The following is a 26,884-nucleotide window of genomic DNA, read 5'->3' on the forward strand; positions in this document are numbered from 1 at the left end:
CCAGAATGTGACTGAAGTGTGTTCAGCTCAAAACCCTATGGCCTTAACTACTACACCAGTCTTTCTCCATTATCTCATCCTCTGAGATGCTTCCCATGAGGCAGTCTCAAACTCTTAAGTCCAACTCAAAGAAAATGGCTTATCTGAATATGGTTTAATACTGTTTTGATTTAGAGGATTTTCCTATTGCCTAAAGGCTTTGCAGTGGTGAGAATGGGATGGGAATTCCCAAAGTCACCTGGACAAGTTTAATATTAATTTTTGTGGGTACATAGTAGATATATATACTTATGGGTTACATGAGATATTTTGATAAAGCATGCAATGCGTAATAATCACATCAGAATGGAGTATCCATCTTTGCTAAAGGATAAAGCATTTATCCTTTATGTTACAAAAAATCCAATTATACTCTTTTAGTTATTTTAAAATGTATAATTAAATTATTTTTTACTATAGTCACCCTGTTGTGCTAGCAAATAATAGGTCTTACTCATTCTTTCTTGCCAAGACCAGCTCGGTCGGGGAGACCCTAACCCAGTGGCACTAGAGGAATTAAAGACACACACACAGAAATATAGAGGTGTGGAGTGGGAAATCAGGGGTCTCACAGCCTTCAGAGCTGAGAGCCCCCGAACAGAGATTTACCCACGTATTTATTAACAGCAAACCAGTCATTAGCATTGTTTCTATAGATGTTAAATTAACTAAAAGTATCCCTTATGGGAAACGAAGGGATGGGCCGGATTAAAGGAATAGGTTGGGTTAGTTAACTGCAGCAGGAGCATGTCCCTAAGGCACAGATTGCTCATGCTATTGTGTGTGGCTTAAGAATGCCTTTAAGTGGTTTTCCATCCTGGGCGGGCCAGGTGTTCCTTGCCCTCATTCCAATAAACCCACAACCTTCCAGCTTGGGTGTTAAGGGCCATTATGAACATGTTACAGTGCTGCAGAGATTTTGTTTATGGCCAGTTTTGGGGACAGTTTATGGCCAGATTTTGGGGGGGCCTGCTCCCAACATGTCTCCCTTCTTTGATTTGCAAAGAGATAAAAGCAAAGGCAGCTTTGTCACAGTGAGCTACTTCTCACAGGAGTCAGGATCCACATCTGCACACTATACAAAGACAAACAACATGGATTAAAAGCACAATCATCATTGAAATACAGAGCTTCCAAGTGTTTTTATCCATTCTAATGGGTTACTAGCTGCTAATTTGTCTGCAGCTCCTTTAAGGACTCCAGTTCCTGGCATTAAGGTCAGGTGTGCCTGGGATGCTTTAAATATTTGTTCTTTTAATTTTGCCATATCCAAAAACAAGTTTGTAGAGTGTCCTTCTAGATGCCTTTTTATTCTTTCCCAAATTTTGATCTTATTAAGAACATCTAATAGTTTCCACAAATCCTTATGTTAAGCTTCTAGAGCAGGCCATATCATTTGAGGTTGAGGTGCCACTATACCGCCACGGTTCCAGATAATAGGAACTTTTGCCATACTTCTTATCATTTCTACCATCTGACCGTTTTGTTCAGATCATCTGAACATAGTGTGGCCATGGCACGCAGACTGAGAGGTGCAATTCAAGCTAAACATCCCCTTAGGGTACCAATTAATAATGATTCCATAGGAATCATTGTGCAGCACCTCTGTCTGTTCTGCAAAGCAATCTTCCTAAACAAGTACGTTCATCTTTTTCTAACTGGGTCCAATCCTGTTTACAAAAAGGTTTTTGAGGATGGTATGCCTCAATTATATGAGCAGATTTATTATGGTAAATACTGAGATCAGAAAGCATGTGTAACTGTGTCAGAGTGATTGCATCCAGGCATTATTGCCGGCCAAGATTGATAAATATGCCCAATAAGTATAACTGTTCTCTGTGTCAGCCCCTGTTGAAGGAATACTCATGGCAGTGGTGATAACCGCTATCATAGCTACCATTAAATTATTCATTGTGACTGGTTGTCCCGCTTTCCTCAGGTTTTCTTCCGCCATCTGTGACAGCTTCTTGATCTGTCCCCAGGTGGGTGGCTGTGTTTGACGGGTGTTGCTCGTGACAATTGGGGTCCTCCTCAGCATCAGTCTTGACATGGCTGCAACTGGGGGGTCCTCGGGATCCTCCTGTAATCTGGCTTATGCTAAGGTTTCAGGTGTATTGATGGTATCCAGATCAGCTGTTGATTTTGGCCTGGAGAAACACAAGCATAACCTCTACCCCAGGTTATCTTCTTTTCAGGTAATGCTGTATCTGCGTTTGAGACCAGAGGCATTAACATGGGTTAAATTGTGAGTGTCTAGCATTAGATATTGCATTAGCAACTAGGCGATCAGCCATTTGATTCCCTTCAGTCAAAGATCCTGGAAGAGGTATATGAGCCCTAATGTGAGTGATGTAAAAAGGGTGCATTCTACGTCTAACTGCTGTTTGCAATTGGGTAAATAAAGTCATCAGTTGTGTATCTGTATGAAATCATAACTGAGCATTTTTAATTAACTCTGTTGGAATGAACCACATATGAAGAATCAGAAATCACATTAATAGGCACATCAAAAGCAGTCAATACCTCAATTACCACTACAAGCTCTGCTTTTTGAGCTGAAGTATAGGACGTCTGGAAAACTTTACTTTTTGAGCCAAAATAAGAAGCTTTACCATTACTAGACCCATCTGTAAAAACATTCTCAGCCCCTTCAATTGATTTAAACTTAGTTATTTTGGGGAGAATCCAATTAGTTAATTTCAAAAACTGAAACAGCTTCATTTTAGGAAAATGATTATTGAGAATACCCACAAAGTCAGCTAAATGGGTTTGCCAAGTAAGACTTTTTATAAAAGCTTGCTGTATTTGTGCCTTCGTGAGAGGGACAATAATTTTTCTAGGATCATATCCATGTAATTTAACAATCTGAGTTCTCCTACTCCCTATAGTAGTGATTTGATCTAAATAAGGAGTTAGAGTCCATGAATTAGTATGTGGAAGAAAAAGCCATTTTACTAAGTCCTGTTCTTGGACAATAACACCAGTGGGTGAATGCTGAGTTGAAAAAATTAGCAAATCTAGAGTCTTCTCTGGATCTATTCTATTTATTTGAGCTTTATGGACTTGCTTCTCAATCAGTTGTAACTCTGCCTCTGCCTCGTTTGTTAATTGCCAAGGGCTAGTGAGACTAGGATTTCCTCTAAGGATAGAAAACAGATTACTCATGGCATAGGTAGGAATGCCTAGAGCAGGTCGTATCCAATTAATATCCCCTGGTAATTTTTGAAAATCATTTAATGTTTTTAATTTATCCCTAAGTATGGTTACTTTCTGTGGCACAATGGTAGTGTCATTTACTAAGGTCCCCAAGTAAGAATAAGGAGTAGTAGTCTGAATTTTGTCAGGAGCTATAATTAAACTAACGCAAGAAATCGAATTTTGCAAGTGATCATAACATTGGAGTAATATTTCTCGAGTGGGGCAGCACAAAGTATATCATCCATATAGTGAATAATGTAACACTGTAAAAACTTTTTACGAGTAGGTTCAATTGCTTGCCCCACATATGTCAGGCAAATTGTGGGGCTATTTAACATGCCCCTTTCCAATGAATACGCTTTCCAATGAATACGCTTAGCAGGCTGCAGGTTGTTTACTGCAGGAATTGTAAATGCAAACTGTTCACAGTCTTGCTCAGCTAAAGGGATAGTAAAGAAACAGTCTTTTAAATCTTTGACTATCAAAGGCCAATTTTTTGGAATTATAGCAGGAGAAGGCAATCCTGGCTGTAATGCTCTCATAAGTTGTGTAACTGAATTGATGTCTCTTAAGTCAGTTAACATTCTGCATTTACCTGATTTTTTCTTAATTACGAAAACTGGAGAATTCCAAGGGGAAAATGTTGGAGCTATGTGCCCATTTTCTAATTGTTCAGTAACTAATTTATCTAAAGCCTCCAGTTTCTCTTTACTTAGCGTCCATTGTTCTATCCAAATTGGCTTATCTGTTAACCATTTTAAAGGTATAGGTTCTGGAGGCTTAACAATGGCCGCCATCAAACATTATTTCCTAATTTTTGGCGAGAACTTTGTTTTTCCACTTGAAGCAGTTCTTTCAAACCTTGCAAATTTTTTTCTAGTCCCATACCAGGGACATACCCCATTTCATGCATTGTATGTTGACTTTGAGGGCTATATAATTGTTCTGGAATTAGAACTTGTGCTCCCCATTGTTGTAATAAATCTCTTCCCTATAAATTTACAGGTACAGAAGTTATAATTGGTTGAATAGTCCCAGGTTGTCCATCAGGCCCTTCACAGTGCAAAATATAACTACTTTGATATACTTCAGGGGCTTTACCAACTCCAGCTATGTTAAATTGAGCAGGTTGAATTGGCCATGCAGATGGCCAGCGCTGTAGAGAAATGATTGAAATGTCTGCTCCTGTATCTACCAAACCTTTAAATTTCTTTCCCTGAATAGTTATTTCACAGGTAGGACGTTTATCAGTAATTTGATTTACCCAATAAGCTGCTTTGCCTTGTTTATTTGTGCTTCCAAATCCTCCTATTCGTTTAATTTCACTTTTTCCCATTCCCACATACGGCAAAATCAGGAGCTGTGCTATGCGCTCTCCTGGCTCTGCTCTCCAAGGAACAGAAGTAGATGTAACAATTTGAATTTCCCCATTATAATCTGAATCAATGACTCCTGTATGTATTTGTATGCCTTTTAAACTTACACTAGACCTTCCTAAAAGTAATCCTATCGTCCCTGCTGGCAAGAGTCCACAGACTCCTGCTGGGACCTTTTGCGGGGGTTCCCCAGGCAGAAAGCTCACAGCTTTTGTGCAGCATAAATCTACTGTGGCACTACCAGCTGTGGCGGGGGACAGACATTGTACAGCAGTGAGGGAAAGGCCTGAGCTGGAAATGCCCCGGTTTAGAATGGGGCCCGGGATGGGCCCCTCATGGCATTTCCCGAAATTGGGTTCCCTTCTTTATCAAACTTAGAGTGACACTGATTAGCCCAATGTTTTCCTTTTTTACATTTTGGACATATTTCAGGATCAGCAGTTTTCTTTTTTCCCCTAACTGACGGCCTGACTCACTGATTTTTTCTACATTCTATTTAGTATGACCATGCTTCCCACAGTTAAAACAAGTTCCAGGAAACAGAGTATTTCCTTTATCCACTCTCAGTCCTGCTATTGCCTGTGCTAGCAGAGTAGCTTTATGCAGATTACCTCCAATACCATCACAGGCCTTGATATAATCAACTAAATGTGCTTTCCCTCTGATAGGTCGCAGAGCAGCCTGGCAATTGGGATTAGCATTGTCAAAAGCTAATAACTGCAACACTATGTCCTGAGCAGCCGAATCTGCAATCATCTTTTTAAGAGACTTCTGTAACCGAGCTATAAAATCAATGTATGGTTCTCTTGGTCCCTGTTTTATAGCACTAAAGGAAGGGTATTGTTCCCCACCTGAAGTGATTTTTTCCCAAGCTCTAATGCACACTCCTCTAAGCTGTTCTAAGGCATCATCCTGCATGACCAGTTGTGCATCAAAACCAGCCCAACCACCAACCCCCAAAAGTTGGTGTGCAGTTATATTAATTTGAGGTTGGGCCTGGGCATTGTGAGAAGCCGAATGGAAGCTTCGTCTGCCCACCAAGTTTTAAATTGTAAGAACTGAGCAGGGGTTAGACAAGCTCGAGTAAGAGCATCCCAGTCAGTAGGAATCATCTGACTGGAAACAGCAACATTCTTTAACAGTCCCATTACAAAAGGAGAACCTGGTCCATACTGATTTATAGCTTGTTTAAATTATTTGAGTAATTTAAAAGGAAAAGGCTCAAATGTGGCTATAATATTTCCCTTTTGATTGGGGGTGGGAGGGGTGTATTCTAACAGGGAACTGCCAAGCCTCTAAATCACCCTCTCATCTAGCTTGCTGAATTCCTACCTGAATAGAACTAAAAGCAGTCGCTTGAGGCGCTGCTCAAATAGTCACAGGGGCAACTACTTTTCGCCCCGTGTCCTCCGGAAAAGAAAGATCTGGAGGGTCTTTTTCTTCAAAATAATAATGAGGGGGTGCAGAAGGGTAGGGATGAACCTCTCCTTCCTTTGCTGCTTTAGCTGGTAAATGAACATGCTCTGTAACCTCTTCTGTTACTTCACTATACTCTCCTTCCTCCTCATGATCAGTGTGAAAAAGTTCCAAGATGGAATGAACCAGACCCCACACTTGTCCCATTGTTACCCTTCCAAGCTCCCCTTCTTACTCACCACGGGGATTGCTTTAAGAGTACTCCTGTGTCCTCCAGCTGGTTTTCCATTCCAACTGTTGCTCTGGCGACCCTTCGACCTGGATTTGAGCCCCCACGAATGGACACCACTTGCCGAGACCAGCTCAGTCGGGGAGACCCTAACCCAGCAGCGCTAGAGGAATTAAAGACACACACACAGAACTACAGAGGTGTGAAGTAGGAAATCAGGGGTCTCACAGCCTTCAGAGCTGAGAACCCCGAACAGAGATTTACCCACGTATTTATTAATGGCAAACCAGTCATTAGCATTGTCTCTATAGATATTAAATTAACTAAAAGTATCCCTTATGGGAAAAGGGATGGGCTGAATTAAAGGAATAGGTTGGACTAGTTAACTGCAGCAGGAGCATGTCCTTAAGGCACAGATCACTCATGCTATTGTTTGTGGCTTAAGAACGCCTTTAAGCAGTTTTCCGTCCTGGGCGGGCCAGGTGTTCCTTGCCCTCATTCCCATAAACCCACAACCTTCCAGCTTGGGCGTTAGGGCCATTATGAACATGTTACAGTGCTGCAGAGATTTTGTTTATGGTCAATTTTAGGGACAGTTTATGGCCAGATTTTGGGGGGCCTGCTCCCAACACTTTCTAATTTTTTTGTACCCATTGACCATCTCCATTCCCCACGCCCTACCCACTCCCCCCACCACATTATGCTTCCCAGCCTCTGGTAAGCATCCTTCTACTCTCTACGTCTATGAGTTCAATTGTTTTAATTGTTGGCTCCCACAAATAAGTGAGAGCATTTAGTCTGTCTTTCTGTGCCTGACTGATTTCACTTAACATAATGACCTCCAGTTCCATCCATGTTGTTGCAAATGACGGAATCTTATTTTTTTATGGCTGAATAGCACTCCATTATGTAATTGTACTATATTTTCTTTATTGATTCAGCTGTTGATGAACATTTAGTTTGCTTCCAAATCTTGGCTATTGTGAATAGTGCTGCAAGAAACATGAGAGTACAGATACATCTTCGATATTCTGATTTCCTTTCTTTCGAGTATATACCTAGCAATGGGATTGCTCAATCATATGGTAGCTCTACTTTTAGTGTTTTGATGAACCTCCATAGTGGTTGTATTAATTTACAATCCCACCAACAGTGTACAAGGGTTCCCTTTTCTCCACATCCTCACCAGCATTTGTTATTGCCTGTCTTTTGGATATAAGCCATTTTTAACCTGTGGTAAGATGATTTCTCATTGTAGTTTTGATTTGCATTTCTCTGATCAGTGATGTTGAGCACCTTTTCATTTACCTATTTGACATTTGGATATCTTCTTTTGAGAAATGTCTATTCAGATATTTTGTCTGTTTTAATCAGATTATTAGGTTATTTTCCTATAGAGTTGTCTGAGCTCCTTATGTATTCTTGTTATTAATCCCTTGTCAAATGGGTAGTTTGCAAATATTTTCACCCATTATGTGGGTTGTCTCTTCACTTTGTTGATTGCATCCTTTGCTATACAGAAGTTTGTTTTTTTTTTTAACTTGATGTGATCTCTTTTGTTGATTTTTGCTTCAATTGCCTGTGCTTGTGGGGTATTACTCAAGAAATTTTTGCCCAGACCAATATCCTGGAGATTTCCCCCTATGTTTTCTTGTAGTAGTTTCATAGTTTGAGAACATAGATTTAAATCTTTAGACTTAAGTCTTTAATGCATTTGATTTGATTTTTGTATGTGGCAAGAGATAGGAGTGTAGTTTCATTCTTCTGCATATGGATATCCAGTTTTCCCAGCACCATTTATTGAAGAGACTGTCCTTTCCCTGATGTATGTTCTTAACATCTTTGTCAAAAATGAGTTCACTGTAGATGTGTGGATTTATTTCTGGGTTCTCTATTCTGTTCCACTTGTCTATGTGTCTGTTTTTGTAACTCTACCATGCTGTTTTGGCTACTATAGCTCTGTAGTATAATTTGAAGTAAGGCAATGTGATTCCTCCAGTTTTGTTCTTTTTGCTCAGGATAGCTTTGGCTATTCTGGGCTTGTGTGTGTCTGTGTGTGTGTGTGTGTGTGTGTGTGTGTGTGTGTGTGTGTGTTCCCATATAAACTTTAGGATTGTTTTTTCTATTTCTGTGAAAAATGTCATTGATATTTTGATAGGGATTGCATTGCATCTGTAGATTGCTTTGGGTAGTATGGACATTTAACAATATTGATTCGTCTAATCCATAAACATGGAATATCTTTCCATTTTTTTGTATCCTTTAAAATTTTTTTTTAGGGCCCCATAACTTTGAGTATAGTTTTATTCTGAATAAAGTGAATATATTCTTTTCGTGTGTTTATATGTTTATACAAAAGTAGATGAACAGATGTAGGCACAATTGAAATAAAAGGAAATTCTTTAAAATATTAATATTGTATTATTAATTGATGAGATTATAGGTTATTTGAAACGTCTTTTTTATAGTTTTTGTTATCTTTTTTTATTATACTTTAAGTTTTAGGGTACATGTACACAACGTGCAGGTTTGTTACATATGTATGCATGTGCCATGTTGGTGCACTGCACCCATTAACTCATTTAACATTAAGTATATCTCCTAATGCTATCCCTCCCCCCTCCCCCACCCCACAACAGGCCCCAGTGTGTGATGTTCCCCTTCCTGTGTCCATGTGTTCTCATTGTTCAGTTCCCACCTACGAGTGAGAACATGTGGTGTTTGGTTTTTTGTCCTTGAGATAGTTTGCTGAGAATGATGGTTTCCAGCTTCATCCATGTCCCTACAAAGAACATGAACTCATCATTTTTTATGGCTGCATAGTATTCCATGGTATATATATGCCATATTTTCTTAATCCAGTCTATCATTGTTGGACATTTGGGTTGGTTCCAACTCTTTGCTGTTGTGAATAGTGCCGCCATAAACATACGTGTGCATGTGTCTTTATAGCATCATGATTTCTAATCCTTTGGCTATGTACCCAGTAATGGGATGGCTGGGTCAAATGGTATTTCTAGTTCTAGATCCTTGAGGAATCGCCACACTGACTTGCACAATGGTTGAACTAGTTTACAGTCCCACCAACAGTGTAAAAGTGTTCCTATTTCTCCATATCCTCTCCAGCACCTGTTGTTTCCTGACTTTTTAATGATCACCATTCTTACTGGTGTGAGATGGTATCTCATTGTGGTTTTGATTTGCATTTCTCTGATGACCAGTGATGGCGAGCATTTTTTCATGCATCTTTTGGCTGCATAAATGTCTTCTTTTGAGAAGTGTATGTTCATATCCTTCGCCCACTTTTTGATGGGGTTGTTTTTTTCTTGTAAATTTGTTTGACTTCTTTGTAGATTCTGGATATTAGCCCTTTGTCAGATGAGTAGACTGCAAAAATTTTCTCCCATTCTGTAGGTTGCCTGTTTACTCTGATGGTAGTTTCTTTTGCTGTGCAGAAGCTCTTTAGTTTAATTAGATCCCATTTGTCAATTTTGGCTTTTGTTGCCATTGCTTTTGGTGTTTTAGACATGAAGTCCTTGCCCATGCCTATGTCCTGAATGGTAATGCCTAGGTTTTCTTCTAGGGTTTTTATGGTTTTAGGTCTAACATGTAAGTCTTTAATCCACTTTGAATTGATTTTTGTATAAGGTGTAAGGAAGGGATCCAGTTTCAGCTTTCTACATATGGCTAGCCAGTTTTCCCAGCACCATTTATTAAATAGGGAATCCTTTCCCCATTTCTTGTTTTTGTCAGGTTTGTCAAAGATCAGATGGTTGTAGATATGCGGCAGTATTTCTGAGGGCTCTGTTCTGTTCCATTGGTCTACATCTCTGTTTTGGTACCAGTACCATGCTGTTTTGGTTACTGGAGCCTTGTAGTATAGTTTGAAGTCAGGTAGCGTGATGCCTCCAGCTTTGTTCTTTTGGCTTAGGATTGACTTGGCAATGCTGGCCCTTTTTTGGTTCCATATGGACTTTAAAGTAGTTTTTTCCAATTCAGTGAAGAAAGTCATTGGTAGCTTGATGGGGATGGCACTGAATCTATAATTTACCTTGGGCAGTATGGCCATTTTCACGATATTGATTCTTCCTACCCATGAGCATGGAATCTTCTTCCATTTGTTTGTATCCTCTTTTATTTCATTGAGCAGTGGTTTGAAGTTCTCCTTGAAGAGGTCCTTCACATCCCTTGTAAGTTGGATTCCTAGGTATTTTATTCTCTTTGAAGCAATTGTGAATGGGAGTTAACTCATGATTTGGCTCTCTGTTTGTTATTGGTGTGTAAGAATGCTTGTGATTTTTGCACATTGATTTTGTATCCTGAGACTTTGCTGAAGTTGCCTATCAGCTTAAGGAGATTTTGGGCTGAGACAATGGGGTTTTCTAGATATACAATCATGTCATCTGCAAACAGGGACAATTTGACTTCCTCTTTTCCTAATTGAATACCCTTGATTTCCTTCTCCTGCCTGATTGCCCTGGCCAGAACTTCCAACACTATGTTGAATAGGAGTGGTGAGAGAAGGCATCCCTCTCTCAAGACAGGGCATCCCTGTCTTGTGCCAGTTTTCAAAGGGAATGCTTCCAGTTTTTGCGCATTCAGTATGATATTGGCTGTGGGTTTGTCATAGATACCTTATTATTTTGAGATACTTCCCATCAATACATAATTTATTGAGAGTTTTTGGCATAAAGCCTTGTTGAATTTTGTCAAAGGCCTTTTCTGCATCTATTGAGATAATCATGTGGTTTTTGTCGTTGGTTCTGTTTATATGCTGGATTATGTTTATTAATTTGCGTATATTGAACCAGCCTTGCATCCCAGGGATGAAGCCCACTTGATCATGGTGGATAAGCTTTTTGATGTGCTGCTGGATTTGTTTTGCCAGTATTTTATTGAGGATTTTTGCATTGATGTTCATCAGGGATATTGGTATTAAATTCTCTTTTTTTTTTGTTGTGTCTCTGCCAGGCTTTGGTATCAGGATGATGCTGGCCTCATAAAATGAGTTAGGGAGGATTCCCTCTTTTTCTATTGATTGGAATCGTTTCAGAAGGAATGGTACCAGCTCCTCCTTGTACCTCTGGTAGAATTCGGCTGTGAATCCGTCTGGTCCTGGACTTTTTTTGGTTGGTAAGCTATTAATTATTGCCTCAATTTCAGAGCCTGTTATTGGTCTATTCAGAGATCCAGCTTCTTCCTGGTTTAGTCTTGGGAGGGTGTATGTGTCGAGGAATTTATCCATTTCTTCTAGATTTTCTAGTTTATTTCCGTAGAGGTGATTATAGTAGTCTCTGATGGTAGTTTGTATTTCTGTGGGATCGGTGGTGATATCCCCTTTATCATTTTTTATTGCGTCTATTTGATTCTTCTCTCTTTTCTTCTTTATTAGTCTTGCTAGCTGTCTATCAATTTTATTGATCTTTTCAAAAAAACCAGCTCCTGGATTCATTGATTTTTTGAAGGGTTTTTTGTGTCTCTATCCCTTTCAGTTCTGCTCTGATCTTAGTTATTTCTTGCCTTCTGCTAGCTTTTGAATGTGTTTGCTCTTGCGTCTCTAGTTCTTTTAATTGTGATGTTAGGGTGTCAATTTTTTCTTTAGTTAATTCTTACGTATTATATTTTATTTTTAACTATTGTAAATAGGATTACTTTCTTAATTTCTTTTTCAGATTGTTCGCTGTTGGCATATAGAAATCCTACTGATTTTTGTATGTTGCTTCTGTATCCTCCAATTTTAATAAATTTATCAGTTTTAATTTGGTGGAGTCTAGGTTTTTCCAAATATAAGATCATATCATCTGCAAATAAAGATAATTTGACTTCTTCCTTTCCAATTTGGATGCCCTTCATTTCTTTCTCTTATCTGATTGCTCTAGCTAGGACTTCCAGTACTATGTTGAATAACAGTGATGAAAGTGGGCATATTTGATCCTTGAGCAGTCTTATTGAAAAAGAAAGAAAAAATAAAAAAAGAAAGTGGACTTCGTTGTCTTGTTCCATATTTTAGAGGAAAGGCTTTCAGTTTTCCCCATTCAGTGTGATACTAGCCATAAGTCTGTTGTATATGGCTTTTATTATATTGAGGTATGTTCCTTCTATATCTTGTTTATTGAGGGTTTTTATCATGAAGAGGTGTTAAATTTTATCAAGTGCTTTTTAATCATCAATTGAAATAATCATATGTCTTCTGTCCTTCATTCTGTTGAGATGATATATCACATTGATTGATTTGCATATGTTAAACCATCCTTGCATCCAGGGATAAATCTCACTTGGTCATGATGAATGATCTTTTTAATGTATTGTTGAATTTGGTCTGCTAGTATTTGTTGAGAATTTTTGCATCAATATTCATCAGTGAAATATTGGCCTGTAGTTTTATTTTTTGGTGCGTCTTTGTCTGCTTTTGGTATCAGGATAGATCTAGCCTCATAGAATGAGTTTGCAAGTATTCCCCCCTCCTATACTTTTTGTAATAGTTTGAGTAGGATTGGTATTAATTCTTCTCCAAATGTTTGGTACAATTCAGCAGTGAAGCCATTGGGTCCTGGCTTTTTCTTTGCTGGGAAAATTTTTATTTTTTTATTAACAGTTTCTATCTCATACCTTGTTATTAGTCTGTTCAGGTTTTGGATTTCTTCCTGGTTCAATCTGGGTAGGTTGTACATATGTAGGAATTTATCAATTTCTTCTAGATTTTCCAATTTATTGGCATATAGTTGCTCATAATAGCCACTAATGAGCCTTTGAATTTCTGTGGCATTTGTTCTAATGTCTCATTTTTCATTTCTAATCTTATTTGGCTCCTCTCTCTTTTTTTTCTTATTCTGTCTAAAGATTTGTCAATTTTGTTTATCTTTTCAAAGACCAACTTTTTGTTTCATTGATCTTTTGTGCTACTTTATTTCAAAATCTTTAATTCTGCTCTGATTTTTATTATCTTTTCTTCTACTAATTCTGGGTTTGGTTTGCTCTTGCTTTTCTAGTTCTTTAAGATGCATTGTTAGGTAATTTGTTTGAAGTTTTTTTTTCTTTTTCGATGTAGATGCTTTTAGTTATAAACTTCCCTCTTAGTACTTCTTTTGTTGTATCCCATAGGTTTTGGCATGTTGTGTTTCCATTAACATTTGTTTCAGAAAACTTTTCAATTTCCCCCTTAACCTCTTCATTGACCCACTGGTCATTCAGGAGCATATTAATTTCCATGTATTTGTATAGTTTCTAAAATTTCTCCTTTTATTGATTTCTACTTTTATTTCATTGTAGTCAGAGAAGATGCTTGATATTATTTCAATTTTTTGAATGTTTTAACACTTGCTTTGTGACCTAACATATGATCTATCCTTGAGAATAATTCATGTGCTGAGGAAAAGAATGTGTATTCTGCAGCTGTTGGATGAAATGTTCTGTAAATATTTATGAGGTCCATTTGGTCTATAGTGCACATTAGGTGTGATATTTCTTTATTGATTCTCTGTCTGGAAGATCTCTCCAGTGCCAAAAGTGGGGTGTTGGCGTCTCCAGCTATTATTGGTCTGTCTCTTTAGCTCTGGTAATCTTTCCTTTATATATCTGCGTGTTCCAGTGTTGGATGCATATACATTTGTAATTGTTATCCTCTTGCTGAGTCGATCCCCTTATCATTATATAATGACCTTCTTTGTCTCTTCTTATAGTTTTTGTCTTGAAATCTATTTTGTCTGATGTAAGTGTAGCTACTTCTGCTCCTTTTTAGTTTCCATTGGTATGGAATATCTTTTTACATCATTTTTAGTCTGTATGTGTCTTCCATAAATGAAGTGTGTTTCTTCTAAGCGACAGATCACTGAATCTTCATTTTATGTCTTTTGATTGGAGAGTTTAGTACATTTACATCCAATGTTATTACTGATAAGTAATATTCATGCCATTTTATTATTTGTTTTCTGATTGTTTTGTGGTCTTCTCTTCGTCCTTTCTTCTTGTCTTCCTTTTAGTAAAGGTGATTTTCTCTGGTGGTATGATTTAATTTCTTGCTTTTTACTTTTGTGTCTATTTGTTGTATGTTTGTGATTTGAGTTACCATGAGATTTTCCAGCACTATTTTATAAGCCATTATTTTAAGCTTATCACTGTTATCACAACCTAATAGTGCTTGCATAAACAAGCAAAAAGAAAACTAATAATAACTCTATGCCTTAACTTCATCCCCCACATTTTAACTTTTTGTTGTTTCTATTTATATCTTAATGTACTATGCATCCCTTGAAAATTTCTTTTAGTTATTATTTTCAATTGGTTGATCTTTTGGTCTATTTAGTATAAGACTAGTTTACAAGGCTGGGCGCGGTGGCTCACGCCTGTAATCCCAGCACTTTGGGAAGCCGAGGTGGGTGGATCACGAGGTCAAGAGATCAAGACCATCCTGCCAAGAGATCAAGACCATCCTGGCCAACATGGTGAAACCCCGTCTCTACTAAAAATACAAAAATTAGCTGGGCGTGGTGGCGCATGCCTGTAGTCCCAGCTACTTGGGAGGCTGAGGCAGGAGAATCACTTGAACCTGGAAAAAAAAAAAAAAAAGAGTAGTTTACAAATCACAGTTACAGTGTTTTCATATTCTGTGTTTTTCTGTGTACTTACTATTACCAATGAGTTTTGGACCTTCAGATGATTTCTTATTGCTCATTAATGTCCTTTTCTTTCAAATTGAAGAACTCGTTAGCATTTCTTGTAGATCAGGTCTTGTGTTGATGAAATCATTCAGCTTTTGTCTGTCTGGGGAAGTCTTTATTTCTTCTTCACATTTGAAGGATATTTTCACGATATGTATTATTCTAGAGTAAATGTTTTCTTTTCCTTCAGCACTTTACATATGTCATGCCGCTCTCTCCTGGCCTGTAAGGTTTCCATTGAAAAGTCTGCTGTGAGACCTATTGGAGCTCCATTTTATGTTATTTGCTTCTTTTCTCTTGCTGCTGTTGGAATCTTTCCTTTATGCTTGACCCTTGGTAGTTTGATTATTAAAAGCCTTGAGGTAGTTTTCTTTGGGTTAAATCTGCTTGGTGTTCTATAACCTTCTTGTATTAGGATTTTGATATCTTTCTCTAGGTTTGGGAAGTTTACTGTTATTATCCCTTTAAACTTTTTACTCCTATCTCTTTCTCTACCTCCTCTTTAAGGCCAATAACTCTTAGATTTGCCCCTTTGGGGCTGTTTTCTAGATCTCATAGATGTGCTTCATTCTTTTTTATTATTTTTTCTTTTGTCCCTTCTGATTGTGTATTTTCATTTTTTATTTCTTTATTTTTTTATTTGACTATTTTCAAATAGCCTGTCTTCAAGCTAATTCTTTCTTCTGCTTAGTCTATTCTTCCGTTAAGAGACTCTGATGCACTCTTCAGTATATCAATTACATTTTTCACCCTGAGAATTTCTTGATTCTTTTAAATTATTTCAATCCCTTTGTTAAATGTATCTGATAGGATTCTGAATTCCTTCTCTGTGTTATCTTGAATTTGAGTTTCCTCAACACAGCTACTTGGTCTCTTTAAATCTATTTTCTATCTTTATGCTTTCTTCTTTCTTCCCTGGAAGGATACTATTATGAGCTTTCATACCCTTCGGCTAGTTACTTCTCTCTTTCCTCTTTCCTTTGGGCCCAGGGATGGTGCCAGCTACACTGCTGCCAGCCTCAGGCTCCTGCACTATCCCTTTTTGGTTCCATCACACCCTATCCACCATAAGTTGTTCCTTTGTAAATAAACCCTCCTCTAATTATTCTAATTTAAGTGTTCCAACTGTTTTATATTGAGTCCTTGACTGATATGGGAAAATTGGCAGAATATGAATCTCCTAGTACCATCACTGAGGTGTAGAATACTGAAAGTTATTATGGAAGAGTTCTGAGATCTTAGCAGTATAGAGCATTGCACAGTCTTATTCCTCCATTATGGAGAAGAAGGGGCTATTTGGCATGTATTTTCTGAATTTGGGAGCATATTTTAATATAGCAACTCATGTTTGCTACTGTTTGAATGAAGAAATTTCACTGAGCATTTTTTAATGAGACACTGGTCAAGAGTGCCAAGCCTGAAATAATCATAATGTATTGTGCCTTAGAAGAAGATGCAGGCCATTTTCAACTCATTTTACTTCTCTGCAGCCCTTAAAGGGTAAACAAGAGCATGTCAGGGATTCCTGTGGCTCCATATGAAGGGTCGTGGAGACTAGCAGAAGGGCAGAAACCATCAGACTGCAGTTTCTCCAGGCTAAACAATGGAACATCCAACCTGAAAATGACGTTGGGATAGTGTCCCGATGAAATACGGATTTCATTCTAGAAGGAGTTCTTTTGGTAGCAAAGATAGGCATGAAGCTGAACATTGCTCCAAGAAAACCAAACATTGCTTATAAGAACCATATAATGTTCACACAGGTAGCCAGTAGCAGATGGCAGAGATACATTTGACTACTTACTAAGTGGTTTCTTCATTCTCTCTTTGCTTCCTTCATAGGAGATGTATGAGAATATGAGACTCAAAGAGAGAGAAAAAAGGGAAAGTTCATTTTTAAAAAAAAAGATAAAAAGATAAGCCCTCTCCTTTACTGTAAGCCTCTAGGTTCAAAAACAGGTTTAGCTTGAGTTAGGACAGGTGGAGAGGAACATAGTTTAGGAAAGGAGGCTGGAGGCAAGGAGATGAGTCTAGAATGGACTTTGATATGGAAGCTATAAAAGAAGCAATCTTGAATATTGAAACAAGAGTATACTATTAAACAAGAATGATTGGAAAATTGTGGAGTTGGCCACGAAACTGTTAAGCAAACCGCTACTCAGGAGAAAGGAAGAGTTATTAGAAAAGGAACACAAGTTCATGTTTATACTTCAACTCTTGAGACTCACTGCAATTCCCTTCTGACAGGAATTTTTTTTTGTCTTATATATGGTAGAGTTAATTGTTCTAGAAGCCTACTTCAAGCTAACTTAAGCAACAAAGTGGGATTTATTGGAAAGCCGCTTGGGTGTCTCACAGAACCCAAGGAAGAGAATTGAGCTGGATTTCACAGGACCTGGAAAACCCTCAGAAACTCAATTGTTCTCTCTCTTTCTTCTCTCTCCAGTCAGAACCTTCAGGAAGGGGAGAGTGGCTCATGGGCTGAGTGGATAAACCACAAAATGGGTAATATACTATAGGTGAGTTTTAAGTGACAAATGAAGTCTAAGCTGTTATTGCACTGGTCGGTGACTGAAACTGAAAATGGGAATTAGAGGTTAAGTGGAGGGAATATGTTGCCAAAATGTTAGAAGGATCTTCTTCAAAGAGAAGTTGAGGCTCTAGAGGATAATGGTAGGGCACAGAGTGGAGGTGAAGCTTGTGAGGGGTGGGGGTCAATGGGGAGGATAGGAGAGCATTCCTGATTTTGAGGAGGAAGGATAGAGGGTTTTACTGGTGAATGACGTGAGTAAGTGTCATGACCGCTCGTATTCTCAGGATTCTTCAGTATTGGGAGATGTGACTGCAGTGGACAGGGCAGTGTCAGAGAGACTAGATTTTATAATAGAAGCTTTTAAATTACCTACCCATCACCAACTTATCAGGAGACTGACACTGTCCATCTCCTCCAAAAAAAAAAACTGACCTGCCCGGCACTTTGATGTCCACCAGTTGAGCTTTATGTTTATCAAGAATAGTTGTGTAAACTTCCAAAACTGTTTATGGCAGGCACAGTGGCTCACGCCTGTAATCCCAGCACTTTGGGAGGGTGATGTGGGTAGATGACTTGAGGTCAGGAGTTTGAGACCAGCCTGGCCAACGTGGTGAAACCCCATCTCTACTAAAAATACAAAAAAGAAATTAGCCAGGCGTGGTAGCGGGCGCCTGTAATCCCAGCTACTCAGGAGGCTGAGGCATGAGAATCGCTTGAACCCAGGAGGCGGAGGTGGCAGTGAGCCGAGATCATGCCACTGCACTCCAGCCTGGGTAACAGAGCAAGACTGTCTCAAAAGAAAAAAAAACTGTTTATATCAGTTATATTTGTTATTGTAATGATGAAATTTATAGACAAACTAATGAAATAGGAGTATAAACATACCAGTATTTTTTAAAAATAAGTTGAATATTTTATGACTACATAAACAATAATCTTTTAAAAGTCACTGTCAATTTGATGACTAGGAGTCAGCCATACAACTATAAAAGGTTTTGAGAAAACTGTAAAGATCTAAATAGAGGCTGCATTTAGTTTTTTTCCCCACAAGAACCTTTAGGTTCTAGACATTTATTTCAAATAAATGTCAACTCATCTGGATGTAGCTTATGCAAGAAAGACCTAGAAGAGCTCTTATTATGGACCCCCATTCAATGAAAACACAATGGCCCTTTATTTCTCTTTCAACATGAGGAGGTGGAAGGGCTGTTCAAGCCCTTCTGTTCACGATAGCCCAGGAGGTCCAGGAGAGAGGCGAGCCGTGGGTGAGCAGGAGTGTCTGGGGAGTGTCAACTTTCCATTGAAAAATACCCCTATGATCAAGCCATTTCACTTCCGTGGCAATCTTATTTATGTATTCACCAAAATTGGGTGGGAGCTAGTGTTTAGCTGTCATCGTCCGTAGGCTGCTGTGTTTGGCTCATGGCAGGGTGTGAAACTGGCATCAGGGAGTGTTTGCCAAGTGAATAAGGGTGAGGCTGCCCTTTCCAGAGCCGCCGGGAGAAACTCTGGATACAGAGACCCTAGCCTGGCGCCAGTCCCAGCGTTCCTCCTAGTCGGGGAGGAATCTGTGGGTGGGAGGTGGGGAGCCTGAAACCCAAATACAACAGCCACTCTGGGCTGGGCGTGGTTCCCTGGGAGCTGGGTCTCAGATCCTTTTAAAGCTGATTTCTCCCCGGATCTCCGGGCAAGATGGGCAAGTACACGGTCCGCGTAGCCACCGGGGATTTGCTCCTGGCGGGCTCTCCCAACCTGGTGCAGCTATGGCTGGTGGGCGAGCACGGGGAGGCAGACCTAGGGAAGCAGCTGCCACCGGTGTGGGGAAAGGTGAGCGCGGACTGCGGTGAGAGCTGGGGCCCTGGGACTCAGAGGTGTCACTGGGGGCCGGGGCCATTCGGAGGGTGCTGCTGCCCCACCCATGAGAAACCTGGGAAGCGGGGTAGGGGCTGAGGTCGGGTGCACTTGGTGCGCCTGATAGGAAAAGCGAGAGGAACAGGAGAGATGAGAGGCATTTTCCTGCCCGAGCGGAAGGACAGAGACGCCCGCTGGGGTGGGCACGGCAGGCCCGGGGGGAGGCTGGCGCCCCGCAGTACCAGCTGCTCCTCCTCACCTCCACCTCTCCCCGGCTGTGCTGTGGAGGGGAAACGGAGCCAGGATTCTCTGAAGGTTCACCGACCCCGCCGTCCTCCCTGAAGACCCCAAAACCTGAGCTGTGTACTGTCGCGCAGGAGGCAGAGTTTGAGATCGACGTCCCCCTGCACCTGGGGCGCCTCCTGATGGTGAAGCTGCGCAAACACAACGTGCTGTTGAGTCTCGACTGGTTCTGCAAGTGGATCTCAGTGCAGGGCCCGGGGACCCAAGGCGAGGCCTTTTTCCCCTGCTACCGCTGGGTGCAGGGCCACGGAATTATCTGCCTGCCTGAGGGTACTGGTGAGCTCGGTGGAGAAGGGGCACAGCCCCTGGCAGGCTGGAGGAAGAAGCGGGTGGGGGGAGGCTACTGTAAAAGAGGGAAAATGAGAGATGAGGGAGATGGGGAGAAGTGAAGGGGGAGGGTGGCTGATGGGGAGACCCGAGCGCGGAGGGGTGACCAGGGAGGGCATGTGCTCTTGTCCCTCTCCCCCAGCCCGGACCGTGAGTGATGACCCCCAGAACCTGTTTAAGAAATATCGGGAACAGGAGCTCGAGGAAAGAAGGAAGGTGTACCGTTGAGCCCCAGGAAGTCTTTGATCCCCTACCAGATCCCAAGAAACCTGCCACCTGCCTCCTTACCCCTACCTGTGTGTTCTTCCTCCAGGTGGGGCTCCTGGAAAGATGGGTTAATCCTGCCTATAGCAGGGAATAGGCAACCGGACCTTCCTAGGGACGAGCGATTCCTCGAGGATAAGGATTTAGACTTTAATGTCTCCCTAGCAAAAGGGTGAGTACCAGGTAGAGGCTGGGCACTTGCTTCCTAGGGCACAAGGTGGGATGCTTCCTTGATCTTCTTGCACTCCATTCTTTCCACAGGTTGAAGGACTTGGCCATTAAGGGGACACTGGATTTCATAAATTGTGTGAAAAGGCTGGAAGATTTCAAAAAAATATTCCCACATGGAAAGACTGTCCTGGCTGGTCAGTTTTCACAACCTCCCAAAACCAATATACAGACTTCCAACCCAGGGATTTGAAAAAGGAGGGGGATGGAGGATTAGATCAGTGGGATTAGGAGTTCGGAGCTCAGAGCTCACAGGGTGCTCCCCAATTGATGTTCCTAGAGCGGGTTTATGATTCTTGGAAGAATGATGCCTTCTTTGGGTACCAGTTTCTCAATGGTGCAAACCCCATGCTCCTGAGGTGTTCTTCAAGGCTCCCAGCCTGCCTGGTGCTGCCTCCAGGGATGGAAGACTTGAAGACCCAGCTGGAGAAAGAACTCCAGGTGCTGCTGGGCTTTCTGCCCATCCACCATCCCAGCCATTACCCCCACCTCCCTTCTCCTCCCATCTCCAGCCCCTTCTCTCATCTCCTCCATCTACACCCAAGGTTTCTCAACGTTGGCACTATTAACATTCTGCACCACATAATTCTCTGTTGGCTGGCGGGGGGGGGGGGGGGGGGCTTTCCTGTGGATCGTAGGGTGTTTAGTAGCATTCCTGGCCTCTACCCATTGATGCCAGCAGCATCCCCCCGGTTGTGACAACCAAAAATGTGTCTAGATAGTGCTGAATGTCCTGGGGTTGGGGAGAGGAGGAATTGCCCCTGATTGAGAACATTGATCTACAACATCTCCTCCTGTATCTTCTTTTCTTTCTCCACATTCCTCTCTTCCTTCTTCATTGAACATATATCAGCCTTAGGGAAAAGCGCAAGCTTCTGGAGAGAAATAGCAAGAAAAACTAAACAAAGCCTTGGAGAGCTAAAAGCTGAATCTGTTTTTGGGGGGAGATGGGTAGCTAAAGGAAATATTTTTGCTACATTGGCTAAAGCTGGCAGAAGAGGGGATACGTGAAGAATGCAGTGGCCTTATGTGGTGGAAAACCAGAAACTTCGCTGCAGGGAGCTCCAAGTCTGAAGGAAGACATCAGTCATGAAAACTTTGCATTCAGTTTTTTGGTTCTGCAGAAAGTGATTGGTGTTTAAAGTAAAAAAGACTTGGGTGGGTAGAGGAAGGATCCACCCTGGAAAATGAGAGAAGGGCAGCTCCAGAAACAACTCCAACCCTGTTTTCTATTCCTGCCCCTGGCCCTGTAGGCTGGATCTCTGTTTGAAGTGGATTTCTCCTTGCTGGATGGAGTCAAGCCTAATGTCATCATTTTTAAGCAGCAATGCGTGGCAGCCCCTTTGGTCATGCTGAAGCTTCAGCCTGATGGAGGACTCTTACCCATGGTCATCCAGGTGAGAGGGCCCAGGTATTTTTCTACCAGACACTGATCTCCTTTAGGGACTTAGATACACAAGTTCTCAGCCCCCACTCTCTCTCCTGCTCTAGCTCCAGCCACCTTGACACGGATGTCCCCCACCTCTGCTCTTTCTGCCCTCGCATCCCCCCATGGCCTGGCTCCTGGCCAAGACCTGGGTCCGGAGCTCTGATTTCCAGCTGCAGCAGTTACAGTCACATCTGCTGAGGGGACACTTGATTGCTGAGGTTATTGCTGTGGCTACAATGAGAAGCTTGCCTAGCCTCCATCCTATCTACAAGGTACTTCAGCATCTCTGTCATTCTGTATCTGACTGTCCTTCATATTTCAGACTCCTACAAAGAGTCTAACCTTGTACATTTCAGTCTAGCAGCAATCAATTTATATGTGGAGACACATACACAGATACATACACACACGCGTACACATACACAGTAATATGGAAACACCCAGGACACACACTTACTATGAGTTGGGGGGAGAAGTGAGAATAGGTTTTGCAAAGGAGTTGAAATTTTGGCTGAGGAGGTTTCCAGGTGGGCAAGTGAGGGGTGGAACATTACAGCCACAAAGATCTAAAGAGGCGAGGAAAGAAGGGAACATGGATAATGGCTGAGATTGGGTGAGATTAAAGTGTAGGGCATGAGTTGGGATGAGGAGGAAGAAGAAGTGGGAGGAGATGAGAGAAGAAGCCATGTTACTTAGCGGGGAGAAGAATCAAGAGTTATTTTCTGACCATGTGGGGCTTCCAATGCCTATAAAGACCCATTTGCACATGTCAGGAGGGCAACTGGATATGTGAGTCTGGAGTTCCTAGAAGAGGTGTAGGTTGAAAATACAGATTTTAGAGTCATTAGAAAACAAAAGTATCAAAGTCATTGTACTGGATGAAGTTCTCTAGGGTTTGTAGAGAATTTGACCGAGATATAACTCTAGGGTGAACCAACATTTACAGACTGAGAGAAGGGAGCAGAGTGAGAAAAGAAACAAGAGAAGGAACCTCATTGAGGTAGGAGGAAAATCAAAAAGTGCAATCCATGGCAGCCAGGAAAAGAAAGCGTTTCAAGAGGGACGCGTGATTATCTGTCTCAAGTGCTGCTGAGAGATCAAGAAAGTTACAGAGAAGTGACATTTGGATTTCTCAATATGGAAGTCATTGGTTAATAAATGGACATGCGCCATCTCAGGGAAGTGGAGGAAGCCTGATTCATGGGGGTGAGCAGCAAATGTGAGGTGGGTAAGCAAAGACAACACTGAGTGAAGATTTGCTGTGAAAGGGAAAGCAAGAAACAGGGAGATGGCAAGACAAGGATGTGGGGGTCAAGCACAGGTTTTCTTTAGGGTATCCAATATTGCACATGTTTGTATGACAGAGAGAGGAGAAGGAATATAATTATAGGAGGGTGAAGGCAAAAAGGGATGGGCTCATATGTGGGTACCTGCGAGGATATGGGATTTTTAGAATTCTTCCAAGGACATGAAACTGTGGAAATAAGTGAACTCCTAAAACTTTCACCACGGGATGCTCTGAGAAGACATTTTCCCATCTCTATATTCCCAAATGTTACCCTGACCCACTCCAATTTAACGAGAAGTCTCTCCATTTCATAAAGACCCATCCTCTCCCTTCTTTTCTGTCACTTCCTTTAACATCCTCTTCCCTCATGGATGCTGGGAACTCTCTTATTTGACCATGTCCCATTTCTTTCTTCCATAATCAGCTCCTGATCCCCCACTTCCGCTACACCATGGCGATCAACACGCTGGCCCAGAGTAGTCTTGTCTCCGAATGGGGAATTTTTGACCTGGTATGGAAATGGATGGGTGAAGGGGAGGATGGTTCAATATTGGAAGAATCCTAGGGGTTGTTTCCCTTTCCCATTCCTCCCCCAAGCTCTCCTTCCTCCATGGAAGGCCTCTCCCAAACCTGCCTCATGCCTGAAGAGCTTCCTGCTTAAAAGGGCTAGAGTAGGATCATAGGCCTGGAGTTTCCTGATACTCATCTCCCTCCCTCTGCAACTTGGCATGGCTGTGGGTTATCCTCAGGTGGTGAGCACTGGTAGTGGAAGCCACGTGGACATTCTTCAGAGAGCCATGGCTTGTTTGACCTATCATTCCCTCTGTCCTCCTGATGACCTGGCTGACCGTGGGCTCCTGGATGTGAAATCTTCTTTTTATGGCTAAGATGCCATCAGGCTGTGGGGAATCATCAGCCGGTAGGTGAAGGTGGCACAGAGAGGCAATGAACGGAGGGGCGGGGGACTGTAGGTCCAGAAGGTCCTGCATTGGCCCCTGAGACTGAGTGTCTTCTTCCCAGGGAATAGGTACGTGGAGGGGATGGTTGGGCTTTTCTACAATAGTGACCAAGCCATGAAGGATGATCTAGAGCTGCAGGCCTGGTGCAGAGAGATGACTGAGACTGGACTGCAGAGGGCCCAAGACCAGGGGTGAGACATGGATCCTTCCCCACTGAACCCTGTCAACACCCACTCCTCTGCAAACAATCTGCTTCTTCTCACATCATCATGAGACACCCCACCTGCCCAAGGAAGCTGAGAATTCTCCAGAGTGTGTCCAGAAATGCTAACAAGCACTCCTGATCTCCCCAGCCCTGTTCCTACACAGTGTTCTCTCTCCTCTGCACTAAGAGCTTCCTCTGGAACTAGATACAAAACTTCTCTTAGGTATTTTCCCTCACTCTTCCCTCCCCTCTCCCCATAGCTCAAGGTTCATCCCAAGTGCATTAACCTTTGAGCACACACAAGGTGGGAGTCCTAGGGTGTGCAGGCCAGAACCACAGAAAAGTTCTTTTCTGTATCTCCACATAGCTTTCCCTGCGTGAGACCTATTTCGTGTTCTGGTTTCGAGATCTCTGATTCTCATTTCACCAGGATTCTCATTTCACCAGGTTCCTCATCTCCTTAGAGTCCCGGGCTCAGCTCTGCCACTTTGTCACCATGTGCATCTTCACATGCACAGGTCAGCATGCTTCTAACCACCTGGGCCAGGTAACCTATGTGATCATCCCACAACGGCTCCTGGGATGGAGAAGTGGGGGATCAAATGCCCAGGTCATCAGCCTGCATTTCTCTGGGCTCTCCTCCCTGCAGCTGGACTGGTACTCCTGGATCCCTAATGGCCCATGCACCATGCAGAAGCCCCCGCCCATCTCTAAGGATGTGACAGAGAAGGATATAGTGGACTTACTGCCCAATCTCCACCAGGCACGTATGCAAAAGACCTTCACAAAGTTCCTTGGCAGACGCCAGCCTGTCATGGTGAGAAGCAAATGCCTGGGTCCTGGGAAGGAGGCAGCTCAAAGGAGGGGAAGTATTCTGGGCTGAGAGTCCCAAGGGGCTGAGCCAACTTGTCTTCTGCCTCTCAGCATGAGGAGAAATATTTCTCTGGTCCTGAGCCCCAAGCTGTGCTGAGACAATTCCAGGAGGAACTGGCTTCCATGGACAAGGAGATTGAGGTCCGGAATGCAGTCCTGGACCTGCCCTGTGAGTACCTTTGACCCAGCATGGTAGAGAACAGCGTGACCATCTGAGAGGCCTTGCCCGCCTCAGCTCCAAAGCTCCACCATCCCTGAGTGCCTTTGAGTATTCCGTCCTCCTCACATCCTCTGGTGAACAAATTGTCCCCAAAGCTTTGTGGTCAGGGTATCCAGAGCTGCTCACCACACAACTATGGGGAATACACAGTGATGGTCCCCATTGCATTTGGAAGTGGCATCCCCCAAAGCTGCCCTACCTTAAATGTCCATCCAGTCCTGCACTTCCTCACCCCGATCCCTGCACACCTCCTCATTGCCAAAGGACCTGGCTTAGATACAAGTAAAAATATATGATTAAATAACAAAACGGATTATATGTGTGGTGGTGGAAGGTGGGAGGAGAGACCTTGCTTTGTTTCCTGCCCCTTTATTCAGATTCCAAAGAAGGAAAGAAAAGTTTTCCTGGAATGAAAATTTTTTCTAGCAATCAATGCTTTTTCCAAGGGTATCTTGGAACCTCTCTAAGTTAAATGACAAGTGTTCTGGATGACTGAGTCCACTGGGGCTAAGAAACCTGGCTCTTGACAAGGGTTTTTGGCTTGAGGCCTCTCTGAATCCTCAATAAGCCATCCCTTAGGCTACCTGCAGCAACGCCTCTGGTGCAACTCCCAGCACAGCCCTCCTGCATGATCCCTCCCCAGCTGCATCCCAGCCTTCCTCTCAGTCCTGTCCCAGGACTCTTGATAAACCCTCTTCTCATCATGCTCTATCCTTGCATCCTTAAAACATACCATCTAGCCCACAGTCCTAGATACTGGAGATAAATGGATAAAGAAGGAACTAGTAGGCCAGACTCTATGTTAGAAATTTTAAATATATAATCTCAATTTATCACACCGGGCACAGTGGCTCATGCCCGTAATCCCAGCACTTTGGGAGGCCCAGGGGGGCAGATCATCTGAGGTTGGGAGTTCGAGACCAGCCTGACCGACTTGGTGAAACCCCTTCTCTACTAAAAATACAAAACTAGCCAGGTGTGGTGGCAGGTGCCTGTAATCCCAGCTACTTGGGAGGCTGAGGCAGGAGAATCACTTGAACCCAGGAGGCAGAGGTTGCAGTGAGCCGAGATTGCACCATTGCACTCCAGCCTATACAGCAAAGAGTGAAACTCGGTCTCAAAAAAAAAAAATTTATCCTCACAACTTCTCTGTGAGGTTGGTATCACTATCACCATCTTATAACAGGAAAATGAAGGTTGGAGAGATAAGGGCAGAAATGACCTGGGACCAAAATGCAGCAGAGTCAGATTCCATTTGCTAGAAGGAAGCAAAGCCCAGGATTGTGGTCATAGCAATAACAGTTAAAAGACTGATCATAAAATCTAGAGGCCAATGAAAGCCTCGGATGGATCTGATGTAATGGGAAAAAAAGGAGAGATAAAGATTCTTTGAGTCTTTTAAAGAATCTTATGCATTCAAATTACTTATGTCCCATATATTTTTAAAAGGAACATATACAATACGGTTAATACGGTAGAAATAGACATG

The 26,884-nt window shown here is 42.1% G+C and overlaps 2 long non-coding RNA genes and 1 pseudogene across 4 annotated transcripts in view, besides 2 other annotated features; 1 reads left to right on the top strand and 2 right to left on the bottom strand.

The window, feature by feature from the left end:
• The window catches only part of ALOX12P2 (arachidonate 12-lipoxygenase pseudogene 2), a 46,774-nt pseudogene extending 21,066 nt beyond the window's left edge, over positions 1 to 25,708 (top strand). The window contains exons 1-13 of one of the 2 annotated variants that reach the window (NR_120453.1): positions 19,136 to 19,275; positions 19,677 to 19,872; positions 20,243 to 20,365; positions 20,455 to 20,558; positions 20,702 to 20,862; positions 21,675 to 21,818; positions 21,913 to 22,122; positions 23,563 to 23,649; positions 23,888 to 24,057; positions 24,159 to 24,288; positions 24,750 to 24,849; positions 24,952 to 25,119; positions 25,227 to 25,708. The product of NR_120453.1 is annotated as an arachidonate 12-lipoxygenase pseudogene 2, transcript variant 2 (transcript). Of the gene's footprint in view, positions 1 to 17,361; positions 17,435 to 19,135; positions 19,276 to 19,676; positions 19,873 to 20,242; positions 20,366 to 20,454; positions 20,559 to 20,701; positions 20,863 to 21,674; positions 21,819 to 21,912; positions 22,123 to 23,562; positions 23,650 to 23,887; positions 24,058 to 24,158; positions 24,289 to 24,749; positions 24,850 to 24,951; positions 25,120 to 25,226 lie in introns of those variants that run through there. The other variant, NR_002710.2, reaches the window with a different exon arrangement.
• Positions 579 to 12,336, bottom strand: LOC124903907 (uncharacterized). Its single transcript, XR_007065596.1, has 2 exons — positions 6,269 to 12,336; positions 579 to 2,246 (listed from the first exon to the last, which is right to left on the bottom strand). It is a non-coding gene; the product is annotated as an uncharacterized LOC124903907 (long non-coding RNA).
• Positions 18,599 to 20,305, bottom strand: LOC124903908 (uncharacterized). The gene is made up of 2 exons (XR_007065597.1): positions 20,224 to 20,305; positions 18,599 to 19,915 (listed from the first exon to the last, which is right to left on the bottom strand). It is a non-coding gene; the product is annotated as an uncharacterized LOC124903908 (long non-coding RNA).
• Positions 19,039 to 19,540: an enhancer, noted in NCBI's record as "H3K4me1 hESC enhancer chr17:6796999-6797500 (GRCh37/hg19 assembly coordinates)". NCBI's record gives its function as "activates a minimal SCP1, AML or CMV promoter by ChIP-STARR-seq in naive H9 embryonic stem cells {active_cell/tissue: H9 hESC(naive)}" and the evidence as "EXISTENCE:reporter gene assay evidence [ECO:0000049][PMID:30033119]".
• Positions 19,541 to 20,040: an enhancer, noted in NCBI's record as "H3K4me1 hESC enhancer chr17:6797501-6798000 (GRCh37/hg19 assembly coordinates)". NCBI's record gives its function as "activates a minimal SCP1, AML or CMV promoter by ChIP-STARR-seq in naive H9 embryonic stem cells {active_cell/tissue: H9 hESC(naive)}" and the evidence as "EXISTENCE:reporter gene assay evidence [ECO:0000049][PMID:30033119]".
• Positions 25,709 to 26,884: the final 1,176 nt, after the last annotated feature.

This window comes from Homo sapiens, chromosome 17 (assembly GCF_000001405.40).
Source record: "Homo sapiens chromosome 17, GRCh38.p14 Primary Assembly".
Lineage (NCBI taxonomy): Eukaryota > Metazoa > Chordata > Mammalia > Primates > Hominidae > Homo > Homo sapiens.